This window comes from Homo sapiens, chromosome X (assembly GCF_000001405.40).
Source record: "Homo sapiens chromosome X, GRCh38.p14 Primary Assembly".
Lineage (NCBI taxonomy): Eukaryota > Metazoa > Chordata > Mammalia > Primates > Hominidae > Homo > Homo sapiens.
This window is the reverse complement of record NC_000023.11, coordinates 78,728,320-78,744,990: the sequence shown is the minus strand read 5'-3', so window position 1 is coordinate 78,744,990 and position 16,671 is coordinate 78,728,320.

Sequence of the window (16,671 nt, the reverse complement as noted above, 5' to 3'; positions counted from 1 at the left end):
TTGCTGCAAACCTTATAGTTTTGCTTGCTCTAACATTTGTAAGGTGGAAGGGGGAAAACAAAAGTCTTCCCAGGGTTTTCTCCAATCAGCCAGTTTATATCTGTAAAACTTAACTCAAAATGTTCTTTAAAAAAAAGACACTCGTTGAGTTTTTGATGTCTATGCTACTGGGGGAGGAAATGAATATGTCGCTTAAAAAGTGCATTCAGAACTGTCTGGGGGAATATGCATTTCATTTTTTTATCTGTTTGAAAAGAAAGTAACTGAAATATGACTAACTTCCAACTGGAAATTTACACATTTGATTAAGAACAACCAGATGCTTGGGACCTTCACACTTCAAACCCAAATTAATTTTTCTTTCTGCCAACAATATCAAAGGACTGGGTGAAATCACCCATAGTGCAAGTAGTTCAGCACTATGCCAGGTTCCCTAGAAACAGTATAAATGTAACCAAAGGATTTTAACCATGCCTGTATCATTCCAGCTAACAGTTTTGGTAACTCTGATAGTCTTTAAGTGAACACAGTACCTGGACCATGTTCTAGGGAAAGGGAGCCAGTTAATTACTAACTTTGCATTAATTAGTGGATGTCTTTTTTTTTCTGAGACAGGGTCTCATTCTGTTGCCCAGGCTGGAGTGCAGTGGTGCAATATCTGCTCACTGCAACCTCTAATTAGCGGATATATTGAAGTCTTCCAGGAAACAAAGAAAGGCAAAATCCTGGATCCTGCAGCCATTTCTTTTTTATACAATCTTCTTTTTTGCTTCAGTGGAAAAAAGGATCACAAGGCCAGGTTCCCCATCAGCTCATTTAGGACACTAAGTCTCTGAAAGGGGGTAAAATTTATTTTCAAGCAAATTCCCTACAAGATTTTTAGCTCATCCTTAACACTGGATTACCTTTACTTCCTAGTGTTTTCTCAAACAACTGAGCTTTCCTGCTCACTCACTGAACCAGCTTAGGAAACAAGTTTCCATTGCTAGAAGTGGAGTTGGTAGTTACAGAAAATGAACACTTTAACCTAAGAACTTTGGGAAAAGCCCAGGAACTTTGCATGTTTGATATAGGTTAGAAAAATTTCAAGGTAACAATAAAAATAATGACTGTAGAAAACATTTTGTCAGCATTATTACATGTCAGGTAATATTCTAAGTCCTTTACATATATTTATTTACGTAATTTGCACAACTCCATGATGTAGTCACTGTTATTCCTATTTTATACTTGAGAAAAATCAGCCACAGAAAGTTTAAGTAAATTGCTCAAACTCACACAGCTAATAATTCCTCCATTAATTCTGATAATTTCTAGGCTAATAGTTATAATCATACCTTCATTTGGTAGTACACTCAGAACTCTGTCCAAATCATCTTGTTCATGAGCAAATATAAGGATTCTATCTTTTGTGATGCAAACTCCTCACTAGAAGTCGACCAACCTTGCTAACAAAATGTGTAGCTTTTGAACTGTTCAAAGGTTTGAAAATCTGTTAATATGAGACCTAAAATTACAATCTGCATGGGAGGAAAGTGACTTACCTAAGACAACAAAGCTAATAAATACTACAATCACATCAAAATGCAAGTGTTTTGGAATTATGTTTATGTAAATATGAAGTCAATTTTGATAAGTTAAGCTACATATTCAAAACCCAAGAGCAACCACTATAAAATTTCAAAAATATAGTTTAAAATTATTAAAGTAATGAAAAAGTTGCACAGAAAATAGCCACTCAAGACAATGAGACGAATACAGGACAAGAGTAGTCATTACACATATAGAAACAAAAAAGGACAATTGCATGAAAACATAAAGCCATGTCAATTATAACATTACATATTATTGATTACATAATTGAATCAAAAGACAGATTGTAAGACTGAATTATAAACAAGGTTGAAATATATGCTATTTGTAAGACAAATTTAGATTCAAATACACAAATGCATTGAAAGTAGAAGGATGGAAAAAGATATTCCTTAAAACAATGGCCAAAAAAAGGAGCTGGAGAGGCTATGTTAACATTGACAAAAATAGATTTTAAAATAAATAAGCACCTATTACTGAGATTTTAAAATAAATAATCACATATTACTGTGGTATATTTTATAATGATAAAATGATTAACCCATCAGTAAGGTTTTATGATTATAAATATATATGCACCCATACACAGAGGCACTAAATACATGAAGCAATAACTTATATAATGGCAGGAAGAAATAGACTATCTCATAATAATAGTTGGAGACTGCAATATCCCAATTTCAATAATGGAAAGACCAACTATACAGAAGATCAAGAAGAATACAGAATAATTGAACAACACTATATCCCAACTAGACCTAACAGAGCTTTATAGAACATTTCACTGAACAACAATAAAATATATTGTACATTCTTTTCCAGTGCCAATGGAATACATGGCAAGTGGACCATATAGTAGGCCATAAAGAAGCCTCAATAGATTTAATAAGATTAAAAATAATACGAAGTATGTTGAAGATCCACAATGGTTTTAAATTATAAATCATCAACAGAAAGAAATTTGGGATTTTTTTAACATGTGGAAATTAAACAATACACTCTTAAATACCAGTGGGTCAAATAAGATATTATAAGAGAAAATAAGATGAACAAACATGAAAATACAGCTTACCAAAACTTATGAAGTTCAGGAAACTTATAGTTGAAGTAAACTTATGGTTGAAGGAAACTTATGGTTGAAGATACCTATATTAAAAATGAATACAGGCCAGGCACAGTGGCTCACGCCTGTAATCCCAGCACTTTGGGAGGCCGAGGCAGGCGGATCATGAGGTCAGGAGATTGAGACCATCCTGGCTAACACGGTGAAACCCCATCTCTACTAAAAATACAAAAAATTAGCCAGGCGTGGTGGTGGCACCTGTAGTCCCAGCTACTTGGGAGGCTAAGGCAGGAGAATGGTGTGAACCCAGGAGGTGGAGCTTGCAATGAGCCGAGATTGAGCCACTGCACTCCAGCCTGGGTGACAGAGCGAGACTCCGTCTCAAAAAAAAAAAAAAAAAGAATACAAACATTGATTCTTTGACAAAATTGACAAATCTTTGGCTAGACTGACCAAGAAGATAGAAAACTCAAGTTACTAAAACCAAGAATGAAAGAGTAAATATTATTACTGACCTTATAGAAATAAGAAATTATCATAAGGAAGCATTATGAACAATTGTATTCCAACATATTAGATTACATAGACTAAATGGATAAATTTCTAGAAATGCACAAATTACTCAAACTGACTTGAGATAAATGGAAATATAAATGGACATATAACAAGCAAAGAGACTAAGTTAGGAATAAAAAAAATCATGCAAAGAAAATTCCAGGAGGAATTGGCTTCACTGGTGGATGTTCCAATCCTTCACAAACAAAACTTCTCCACAAACATTTCTTAAAAATAGAAGAGGAGAGGCCAGGTGCAGTGGCTCACACCTGTAATCCCAGCACTTTGGGAGGCTGAGGCAGGCCGATCATGAGATCAGGAGATGAAGACCAACCTGGCCAACATGGTGAAACCTCATCTCTACTAAATATACAAAAATTAGCTGGGCATCGTGGCATGTGCCTGTAGTCCCAGCTACTTGGGAAGCTGAGGTAGAAGAATCTCTTGAACCCGGGAGGCGGAGGTTGCAGTGAGCCGAGCTGGTGCCACTACACTCCTGCCTGGAGACAGAGTGAGACTCCGTCAAAAAAAAAAAAAAAAAAAAAAAGGGAGAAGAGAAGAGAGAACACATCCCATTTCACTTTATAAGGCAAACACTATTGATATATTTTGGATCTGTATCCCCACCAAATCTCATGTTGAAATGTAATCCCCAGTCACCCCAGCTTGTTTGAGGTGATTGGATCATGGGGGTGGGTTTCTCATGAGTGGTTTAGCACCATCCTATTGGTGCTGTCCTCACAATAGTGAGTCCTTCTGAGATCTGGTTGTTTAAAAGGTGTGTGGCACCTATTTCTGCCCATGGTTCCTCTCTGGCCATGTAACATGCCTGCTCCTGGCTTAGCTTTTGCTATGAATAAAAGCTCCCGAGGTTTCCCTGGAAGCTGAGAAGATGTCAGAACCATTCTTCCTGTACAGCCTTAATTTCATGAGCCAATTAAACCTCTTTTCTGTATGAATTACACAGTCTCAGGTATTTTTTATAGCAATGCAAGGATAGTCTAATACAGAAAATTGGTAGTAGGAGTGGGGCATTGCTACTACAAATACACCTGAAAATATGGCAGTGACTTTGGAACTGGGTAATGGGCAGAGATTGGAAGTGTTGGAAGGCTCAGAGGGCAGGAAGATGAGAGAACATTTGAAACTTCCTGGAGATTGGTTAAATGGTTGTGACCAAAATTCAGATAGTCATATGGACTTCACCAAGTCCAGGCTGTTGAGGAGGTCTCAAATGGAAATAAAGAACTGTTTGGCAACTGAAGCAAAGGTTACTCTTGTTATGCTTTAATGAAGAACTTGGCTGCATTGAGTCATACTCTAGGGATCTATGGAAGTTTCAGCTTAAGAGTGATGACTTTGAGTATCTGGTGGAAGAAATTTCTCAGCAGTAAAGCATTCAAGAGGTGGCCTCGCTGCTTCTGATTGCCTATACTCAGAAGCAGGAACAAAGAAATGGTCAAGTTGGAACTTAGATTTAGAAGAGAAGATTGTAAAAGTTTGGAAAATTTACAGCCTAGCCATGTGGCAAAAAAAGAAGAGCAAATTTTCAAGGGAAGAATCTAAGTAGGCTGTGGAGCAACCACTTGTTAGAGAGATTTACATGACCAAAAAAGAACCAGGTGCTGATAGCTTAGACAATGGGAAAAAAGCTTAGAAGGCATTTCAGGGATCTTTGTGGCAGCCCCTCCCATGATAGGCTCAGAGGCCTAGGAGCGGGTCCAGGCCCAGGACTCCACTGCCCTGTACAGCCTTGGAACACTACTCCTTGCATCCAGGTCACTCTGGCTCCACCCTTACCTCAAATAGCCCCAGATATAGCTCCAGCCACTGCTTCAGAAGGTGCAAGTTACAAGCCTTGGCAGCTTCCATGTAGTGTTAAGCCTATAGGTGTGCAGAGTATAAGAGTGAAGGAGACTTGGTAGCCTCCATCTAGATTTCAGAGGATGTATGAGAAACCCTGGGTGCCCAAGCAAAAGCCTGCTGCAGGGGCAGAGACCTCACATAGAACCTCTACTAGGACAACATCAAGGTGAAATGTGAGATTGGAGGCCCCACACAGAGTTTCTACTGGGGCACTGCCTAGTGGAGTTGTGGGAAGGAGACCACCATTCTTCAGACCACAGAATGGTAGAGGTTTCATCAGCTTGCACCTCAAAAAATTACAGGCACTCCACTTCAACCCATAATGTCAGCAATGGGAGCTGTACCTGCAAGGCCATGGGGCAGCACTGCTCAAGGCCTTGTGAGTCCACCCCTTGCACCAGTGTGCCCTGGATGTGGAACATGAAATCAATAAAAACTATTTTGGAGATTTAAGATTTAATGACTGTCCTGCTGGGTTTTAAACTTGCAAGGAACTTGTAGCCCCTTTCTTTTGGCTGATTTCTCTCTTTTGGAACAGGAATGTTTACCCAAAGCCTGTATCTCCATTGTGACTTGAGCAAAAATAACTTGTTTTGATTTTACAGGTGCATAGATGGAAGGAACTCATTTCCACATGGCACTTAGGAATTGGGACTTGGGACTCTGAGTTATCGTCAGAATAAGTTAAGACTTTAGGGGACTATTGGGAAGGCATAATTGTATTTTAAAACGTGAGAAGGGCATGAGATTTGTCAGTCTAGGGGCAGAATGATATGGTTTGAATTGGTGTCCTTGCCAAATCTCAACTTGAAATGTAGTCCTCACTGTTGGAAGTGGGGCCTGTTGAGAGGTAATTGAATCATGAGGGTGAATTTCTCATGAATGGTTTAGCACCATCCCATTGGTGCTGTCCTCATGATAGTGAGTTCTCACAAGATCTGGTTGTTTAAATGGGTGTGGCACCTTCCTCCTCTTGATGCCTCTCTTTCCATGTGATGTGCTTGCTCCTGCTGCTCCTTCTGCCATGAGTAAAAGCTTCCTCAGGCCTCCCCAGAAGGTGAGAAGATGCCAGTGCCATGCTTCCTGTACAGCTGGCAGAGCTGTAAGCCAATTAAAACAATTTCTTTATAACTTACTCAGTATCCGGTATTTCTTTATAGCAATGCAAGAACAGCCTAATACAATTGCCCAGATACCAAAACAAAGATTTCCTATGAAATGAAAGCTACGTATTATTATCACCTGTGAATGTAGACATAAAAATCCTTTGAAAATATTAGCAAACCAAAATCTAGAAACATATAAAGAGGATTATAGACCATGACTGAGATTTACCCCAGCAATGAAAAGTTAGTTTAACATATAAAAATCAAAGTAATTCTTCATATTACTAGGATAAATGACAAACTACATGAACAACTCAATATATGCAGCAAAAGCAGTCGAAAAAACTAACATCCTTTCAAGATAAAAACCACTGAACATACTAGAAATATAAAGAAAATTCCTTAATGGGATAATGACATCTATAAAAAATCCACAATTAACATTATACTCCATGGTGAAAAATCGAAAGCTTTTCCACTAAGATCAAGGACGAAACAAAAATGCCTGTTTTCACCACTTTTATTCAATATTGTACTGGAAATTATAGCCAGAGCAATTAGGCGAGAAAGAAATAAACAGCATCCAAAGTGGAAAGGAAAAAGTAAAACTATGCCTATTTATTGATGATATAATTTTGGGAAAAAAATCTAAAGAATCTAGAAAATAACTATTAGAGATTGTAAACAGGGTAAGCAGGTTGTAAGCTACAAGATTAATACACAAAAATCAGTTTAATATCTATTTGCCAATAACAAACAATCTGAAAATAAAATTGAGAAAAAATCATATTTATAAATGAAACGAATAAATTTAAACAAAGAAATGCAAGACTTGTGCACTGAAAACTACAAAGGATTGCTAAAATAAATTTAAGAATATCTCAATAATAGGAAAAAACTCATGTTTATAAATTGAATAGCACAATATTTTGAGGATAGGGATACTACTCATATTGATCCACAGATTCAACACATTTTCTATCAAAACCCCAGCTGACTTTTTTGTAGAATATTAAAAGATGAAATTTATATGAAAATGCAAGGAACCCAGAATAGCCAAAATAATCTTTAAAACAGAATTAAGTTGATGGACTCACCCTTAATCAATTTCAAAACTTACTACAATCCTATAGCAATCAGTATTGTGGTACTGGCATAACAACAGACATATATATATATATATATATATATATATATGTCAATGGAATAGAAATGAGAGCCCAGAAACAAACCAACACTTGTATGGTCAATTTATATTTGACAAGGGCACCAAGAAAATTAAATGAGAGAAAGATTTTTTTTCATGAATTGCAGTGGGCCATCTGGATATAAACACTCAAAATAATAGATCCACACAAAAAATAAACCAAAGTGGACTATCTGCCTAAAATTATAAAACTCTTAGAAGTATAAATCTCCATGATTTGGGGTTAGGCAATGATTTCTTACATTTGGTATTAATAGCATAAATTACAAAAGAGAAGATTGAAAAGTTGAACTTCATCAAAAGTAAAACTTGTTTGCCAAGAACTTAGTAAAGTGAAGGGTCTTAAATTGCCAAGGCCACCCCACCCCCAACCCCTGGCAGTGGTGGCAGCATGGTGCAGAGAGCATCTCTAGGCACAGGGAGGCAGAACACAGCAATTTTGCGACACTGAACTCAGTACTGTCCAGTTAGAGCAAAAAGGAAAACCGGACCAAACTCAGCCAACATCCATCCACAGAGGAAGCGTTTAAACCAGCCTTAGCCAGAGGGAAATAGCGGATCCCACTGGTTGGAATTTGAGTTCCCACAAACCTTGCCACCAAGAGCTAAAGTGTTCTATGTCTCCAAGTAAACTTAAAAGGAAGTCCAGGCCATAAGGATTGCAACTGTTAGGCCTCCTAGTGCTCAACTAGGTTCAGAGGCAGTGGACTGGAGGGGGGCAGATGACATACTGAGATGCCTGATGGGGTGTCTAAGGGAATGCTGACAACATCCCTCCCAACCTCAGGCTGCACAGTTCATGGGTCCAAAAGAAACCCCTGCCTTCTGCTTGAGGAGAGGAGAGGGAAGAGTGGAAAAAACCTGGTCTTCCATCTTGGTTATCAGGCCAGCCATATCAGGATAAGACACTGGTCAGAGTCATAAAACCCCCATTTCAGGCCCTAGCTCCAAATGGCAATTCTAGACACACCCTGGGCCAGAAAGGAATCACTGCCTTGAAGAAAAACATCCAGTCCTAGCAGCATTCATCTCCTGCTAACTGAAGAGCCTTTGGGCCCTGAATAACCAGCAGTGATACCCAGGTACTATGTTGAGGGCCTTAAGTGAGGCTCTGTTACTTCCTAGATTCAGGTGAAACTCAGCTCATTACCAGCTGTGATGGCTACAGGGAAAAACTCCTGCTTGAGGAAAGTAAAGGGGATTTTGTCTTGCACCTTACATACCAGCATGGCCACAGGGTGATAGAGCACCAAGTAGGCTCTTGAAGTCCCTGATTCCAGTACTTAACTCTTGGATGGCATTTCTGGACTGCCCTGGGTCAGAAGGGAGCCCACTCTTCACCACCACTCAGTGGTGACGGATGAGTCCCAGGCCAGGTAGCATTCATCACAAGCTGACTGAAGAGCCCTTTAGACTTAAGAGAACATCGATGGTAGTCTAGCAGTATACCTCCTGGCCTGGGTTGTTGGTGGTTAATGGGCGAGGCTCCTTTGCTTTAGAAAGGGGAGGGAAGAGTGAAAAGAACTGCATGAGTACCAGGTCAACTGTATTACAATGCAATGCCAGGTAGACTTCTAAGATTTTTTTACTCCAGTCCCTGATTTCCAAACAGCACGTCTTAACACACTCGGGCCTCAGGAACCTCACCACATCACCCTGAAGGGAAGGACACAAACCTGTTTGGCATCACCACTGGCTACTTGTAGAGTGCCAGGGCCTTGGGCACACATAAGCAATTGCCAGAGAGTGGTGAGAGCAGGGCTTGTGTGAGATCCAGTGCTGTGCTGGCTTCAGGTCTGAACCAGCAGAGTCACAGTGCTGGTGATCACAGGGGTGCTTGTGTCATTCCACCCCCAGCTTTAGGTACCTCAGAACAGAGAGACTCAGTAAGTTTAGGAAAAATAAAGGGAAGAGAGCAAGAGTCTCTTCCTGGTAATCCAGAGATTTCTCCCAGATCTTGTCCAAGACTATCAAGACGATACCTCTACAAGTCTGCCAGAACCACAGAGTTACTGGGCTTGAGGTGCCTCCTAAAGCAGATACAGCTTAGATCGCAACACCTAAGTCCTTTCAAATACCTGGAAAGCCTTACCTAGTAGGGCAGATAAAAATAAGTCCTGAAAGTGAAGACTACAATGAATATCTCAATGTCCTGACACCAAAGAACATCTACTAGCATCAACACCATCCGGGAAAACATGACCTCACCACATGAACTAAAAAGGCACCAGAAACCAATCATGGAGAAACAGAGATATGTGACCTTTTATACAGATTATTCAAAATAGTTCTGTCAAGGAAAATCAAAGAAATTCAAAATAACACAGAGAAGGAATTCAGAATTCTACAAGATAAATTTAACAATGAGATTTAAGTAATTAAAAAGAATCAAGCAGAAATTCCCCAGCTGAGAAATGCAGTGGCATACTAAAGAATGTTTTGGAATTCCTTACTAGCAGAATTGATCAAGTGGAAAAAAGAATTACAGAGCTTGAAGACAAGCTATTTGAAAATACACAGTCAAAGGAGAAAAAAGAATAAAACACAATGAAGCAACCCTACAGGATCTAGAAAGTAACCTCAGAAGGACAAATCCAAGAGTTATTGGCCTTAAAGAGGAGATAGAAAAATAAATAGGGATAAAAAATTTATTCAAAGGGGTAATAACAGAGAACTTCTCAAACCTCAAGAAAGATATCAATATCCAATTACAAGAAATGTATAGAACACCATGCCAATTTAACCCAAAGACCACCTCAAGACATTTAATAATCAAACTCCCAAAGTTCAAGGATAAAGAAAGGATCCTGAATACAGGAAGAGAAAATAAACAAATAACATATATAGAAACTCCAAAACATCTGGCAGCAGACTTTTCAGTGGAAACCTTACAGGAAAGGAGAGAGCAGCAGGACACATCTATCGTGCTAAAGAAAAGAAACTTTTACCCCAGAATAGCATATCTGCTGAAAATATTCATCAAACTTAAAGAAGAAATAAAGACTTCCTCAGACAAATAAAAGCTGAGGGATTTCATCAACGCCACACCTGTCCTACAGGAAATGAAATTGGGAGTACTTCAATCAGAAAGAAAAAAAACAGTTATGAGCAATAAGTACAGCTGAAGGTACAAAACTCACTGGTAATAGTAAGTACACAGAAAAACAGAATATTTTATAAAACTATAAGTTTGCTGTGGAAACTACTCTTATCCTAGGTATTAATAGAAAGACTAACTGATGAACCAATTGAAACTCATAAGTATTCAGGACATCATACAATGAGCTATAAATAGAAATTACAAAAATTAAAAATCTGGGGTACAAAGTTAAGACATTGAGTTTTTATTAGTTTTCTTTTTACTTGTTTGTGATTTTTTTTACTATAAAAAGTGTTAAATTGTTATCAGGTTAAAATAATGGGTTATAAGGTAGTAGTTGCAAGCCTTTGGTTTGATGTTACCATCAAACCAAAAAACATACAATGGATACACAAAAAATAAAAAGCAAGAAACTATATCATACCACCAAAGAAAACCACCTTTACTAAAGGAAGACAGAAATGAAAGAAAGAAGGAAAAGACCACAAAACAACCATAAAACAAATAACAAAAAGGCAAGAGTAAGTCCTTACTTATCAATAATATTGAATATAAATGGACTAAACTCTACAATCAAAAGACACTGGCTGGATGAATGAATAAAAACACAAGACCCATTTATCTGTTATCTGCAATGAACTCATTTCTCCTATAAAGACACAGATGGACTGAGAATAAAGGGATAGAAAAAGATACTCCATGCCAATGGAAACCAAAAATGATCATGAATCACTATGCATAGACAAAATAGATTTTGAGACAAAAATAAGAAAAGACAAAGAAGGTCACTATATAATAATAAAGGGGTCAATTCATCAAGAGAATATAACAATTTAATGTAACTATGGATGCATCCAAGACTGGAAAACTTAGATGTATAAAGCAAATATTATTGGAGCTAAAAAGAGAGATAGGCCCCAATACAATAATACCTGGAGACTTCAACACCCTACTTTCAGCATTGGACAGATACTCCAAACGGTAAATCAAGAAAGAAACATCAGACTTGAACTGCACTATAGACCAAATGGATCTAATAGATATTACCAGAACATTTCATCCAATGGCTGCAGAATACACATCCTTTTCATCAGCACATAGATGATTCTCAAGCAGAGACTATATGTTAGGCCACATAACAAGTCTTAGAATATTCAAAAAATTGAAATAATATCAAGCATCTTCTTTGACCACATGGAATAAAACTAGATATCAATAAAAAGATGAATCTTGGAAACTATACAAACACATGGAAATTAAACAATATGTTCCCAAATGACTAGAGGATCAATTAAGTAATTAAGAAGAAAATTGAGAAATTTATTGAAACAAATAATAATAAAAACACAACATACCAAAACCTATGGGATACAACAAAAGCAGTACTAACAGGGAAGCTTATAGCTATAAGTGCCTACATCAAAAAAGAAAAAAAAAAACTTCAAATAAGTAATTTAACAATTCATCTTAAGGAACTAGAAAAGCAAGGGCAAACCAAACCCAGAATTAATAGAAGAAAATAAATAATGAAGTTCAGATCAGAAACAAATAAAACTGAAATGCAAAAAAAAAAAAATACAAAAGATCAATGAAGCAAAAAGTTGAGTTTCTTGAAAAGTTAAACAAAATTGACAAACCTTTAGCCAGACTAAGAAAAAAAGAGAGATGATCCAGATAAATAAAATTAGAAATGAAAAAGGAGGCATTACAACTGATACTGCAGAAATTCAAAGGATCTTTAGTGGCTACTATGAGCAACTATATGTCAATAAATTGGAAAATCTAAAAGAAATGGACAAATTCCTAGACACATACAACCTACCAAGATAGAGCCAGAAAGAAATCCGAAACCCAAACAGACCAATAACATAACAAGATCAAAGCCATCATCAAAAGGCTCCCAGTAAAGAAAACTCCAGGACCCAATGGCTTCACTGCTTAATTCTACCATACATTTAAACAACTAATATCGATCCTACTCAAACTATTCTGAAAAACACGGGAGGAAATACTTCCAAACTCATTCTACGAGGCCAGTGTTACCCTCACACCAAAAACAAGGACACATAAAAAAAAATACAAACAAAAAACACTACAGGCCAATATCTCTGATGAATATCGATGCAAAAACCCTCAGCAAACTACCAGTCAACAGAATTCAACAATACATTTGAAAGTTATTTATCATGACCAAGTGAGAATTATCTCTGGTATGAAAAAATGGTTCAACATATGCAAATCAATCAGGGGGACACATCACATATGAATGAAGAATAAAACATTTCAATGGATGGTGAAAAAGCATTTGATAAAATTTAACATCCCTTCATGATAAAACCCCTCAAACAACTGGGAATATAAGGAACATACCTCAACATAATAAAAGCCATATACGACAGACCCACAGTGAGTATCATACTGAATGGGGAAAAACTGAAAGTCTTTCCTCTAACATCTGAAACACAACCAAGATGTCCACTATCATCACTGTTATTCAATACAGTACTGGAAGTCCTAGCTAGAGCAACCAGACAAGAGAAAGATAAAAAGCTTTCAAATTAGAAAGAGAAAAGTCAAATGATTCTGTTTGCAGATGCTATGATCTTATATTTAGAAAAAAACTAAAGATTCCACATGAAAAAACTATTAGAACTGACAAATTGAGTAAAGTTGCAGTATACAAAATCAATAAGCAAAATCAGTAGCATTTGTATATGCTAACAGTAGACAATGTGAAAAAGAAATCAAGAAAGTAATCACATTTAAAATAACCACAAATAAAATTAATTATCTAGGAATTAACCAAAGAAATGAAATATCTCTATAATGAAAACTATAAAATAGTGATGAAAGAAATTGGAAAGGACACCAAACAAAAGAACAATAGCCAATGTTCATGGATTGGAAGAATCAATATTATCGAAATGTTCATACTACCCAAAGCAATCTGCAGATATAATGAAATGCCTATCAAAATACCAATAATATTCTTCACAGAAATAGAAAAAAAATCCTAACATTCATATGGGCCCACAAGAGACCCAGAATAGCCAAAGCTATCCTAAGCAAAAAGAACACAATTGGAAGAATCACATTTCCTGACTTCAAAATAGCCTCCAGAGCTAAAGTAACCAAGCAGCATGATACCGGCATCAAGACAGAAACATAAACCAGTGGAACAGAATGAAAAACCCAGAAAGAAATCCACACACCTACAGTGAACTCAGTTTCGACAAAGGTGCTAAAAAATATACTGGGGAAAAGGCAGCCACTTCAATATATGGTGCTGGAAATACTGGATATCCATAGGCAAAAGAATAAAACTAGACCCCATCCCTAGCCATGTACAAAATCAAATCAAAATCGACTAAAGACTTAAATATAATACCTCCAACTATGAATCTACTACAAGAAAACATTGGAAAAATCCCTCAGGACATTGGTCTGGGAAAAAATGTCTTGAACACAAGCACAGGCAACCAAAGCAAAAATGGACAAATGGAATCACATCAAGTTTAAAAGCTTCTTCACAGCAAAGGAAACAATAAATAATGTGAAGAAACAACCCACAGAATGAGAGAAAATATTTGCAAACTATCCATCTGACAAGGGATTAATACTCAGAATATATAAGAAGCTCAAACAACTCTATAGGAAAAAAAATCTAATAATCTGATCAAAAGACGGGCAAAATATTTGAATAGACATTTCTCAAAAGAAGACATACAAATGGCAAACAGGCATGTGAAAATGTGCTCAACATCATTGATCATCAAAGAAATTTAAATCAAAACTACAATGAGATATCATCTCACTGCAGTTAAAATGGCTTAGACCCAAACAACAGGCAATAACAAATGCTGGTGAGGATGTGGAGAAAAGGAAACACTCATATACTGTTGCTGGAGATGTAAATTAGTTAAAACCACTATGGATAACAATTTGGGGGCTCCTCAAAAAACTGAAAATGGAGCTACCACATTATCCAGAAATCCCACTGCTAGGTATATCCCCAAATGAAAGGAAATCAGTAAATAAAAAATATATCTGCACTCCTGTATTTGCTGCAGCACTGTTCATAATAGCCAAGATGCTGAAGCAACCAAAGTATCCATCAACAGATGAATGTATAAAGAAAACGTGTGATATGGTTTGGCTGTGTCCCCACCCAAATCTCATCTTGAATTGCGTTCCCATAACCCCCATGTGTGGTGAGAATGACCCCGTGGGAGGTAATTGAATCATGGGGGTGGTTTTCTCCATGCTATTCTCATGATAGTAAGTTCTCACAAGAACTGATGGTTGTATAAGGGGTCTCCCCCTTTGCTGGGCTCTCATTCTTCTCCTTCCTGCCACCATGTGAAGAAGTACATGTTTTCCTCCCCTTCTGCCATGATTGTAATTTTCCTGAGGTCTCCCCAGCCATGCCCAACTGTGAGTCAATTAAACCCCTTTCCTTTATAAATTACCCAGTCTCGGGTATGTTTTTATTAGCAACATGAGAATGGACGTATACAATATGGTACATATACACAATGGAGTACTATTCAGCCATAAAAATAAATGAGATCCTGTCATTTGCAACAACATGGATGGAACTGGATACAATTATGTTAAGAGAAATTAGCCAGGCAGAGAAAAAGAAATAACACATATTTTAACATATTTGTGGGATTTAAAATTCAAAACACTTGAATGATGGATACAGAGAGTAGAAGGATGGTTACCAGAGGTTGGTAAGGGTAGTGGTGGGGGACGTGGGGAGGTGAGGATGGTTAATGGGGACAAAAACTGGTGGAAAATGATGAATAAAACCTACCATTTGATAGCAAATCTGGGTGACTATAGTCAATAATAACTTAATTGTACATTTAAAAAATAACTGATACCAATGTAATTGGATTTTTTCTAATCCCAAAAATAAATGCTTGAGGGGATGTGTACTCTATTCTTCCTGACCTGCTTATTTCACATTGAATGCCTATATGAAAACATTTCATGTACCCCAAAAATATATACACTTAATATGTACTCCATTTACTATATACCCACAAAAATTAAAAATTAAATGAGTTATAGCAGAAAAAAAGCCAAAAAACTCCTTGAACATTCCATGCAGATGGTTCCCAAGCCCACCTCAGTGGGAAAGGAGAGTTTCTACAGCATTGGACTTTTTAATAATGAAATTGAACCTAGAAATCTGTGTTTCAATTCTGTCAAAACTTTCTCAGCTTCAGATAGTCAAGTGTAGAGGAAACATACATGAACCTTCTGTAATTTGCAGAGCTTTAGGGGTTGGTGTTCCAAACTCAGTTTTCACTCTTTATTAAACTTTCCCTCATTGTTTCATCAATAGGCACTGGGTACATACTCTCTGTTATTATTAATGATTTTTTTATCGTACGACATACCTTTCCAATTAGGTTGGCAACTCTTTGAAGGCAGGGATCCTATTAATCACATTTATTTCTCCTTTATGGTATCTGGTATGGCAACTTACTGTTTCAGTTAGGTCTCTTTTGTTTGCAAGGAGAAAGACCCAATAAATCTAGCTCAGTTAAAAGGGGACAGTGGGTGGGTTGAAGATATACAGGAATCCCAAAGAAAGTGAAGGGCACAAAGTATTTATATCCAGTTGGCAGGAACTGGAGCTTGGATAGGAGTAAAGAAGTTACAAGTGCTAACTCTGGAGTTAGACCACCTGTGTTCAAATCCTGGTTTTGCTACTTACTAGCTGTGTGACCTTATGCAAGTCACTAACAAATTGGTGCTTCAATGTACTCATCCATCAAATAAGAATAATAATTATACTTACATCATAGTAAGTGTGTGAAGCCCAAGTAAATTAATATATGTAAACAGCTAAGAAAAGTGGCTGGCACATAATGAGTGTTTTATAAATCTTAACTATTATTATTATCAAGTGCCAAGGTGTAGGTGTAGTTCTCTCTCACTCACTTGCTCTCACTCTCTCTCTCTCCTATCTTTCTCCCACCTCTTCTCTTGAGTTTTATAGTATTTTCTTTTTTGACATCTTCCTTCATCTATGGGTTTCCACAGTTCTCTCTCTGTGAATCATTTTCCTCTTCTCCTACTCTATATTATTACTGCTCTCTCAAAATGTCAGCTTGAATGTTGCCCTTTAGCTTAGTATAGTTCAAAGCCATGCCCGTGTGTTATA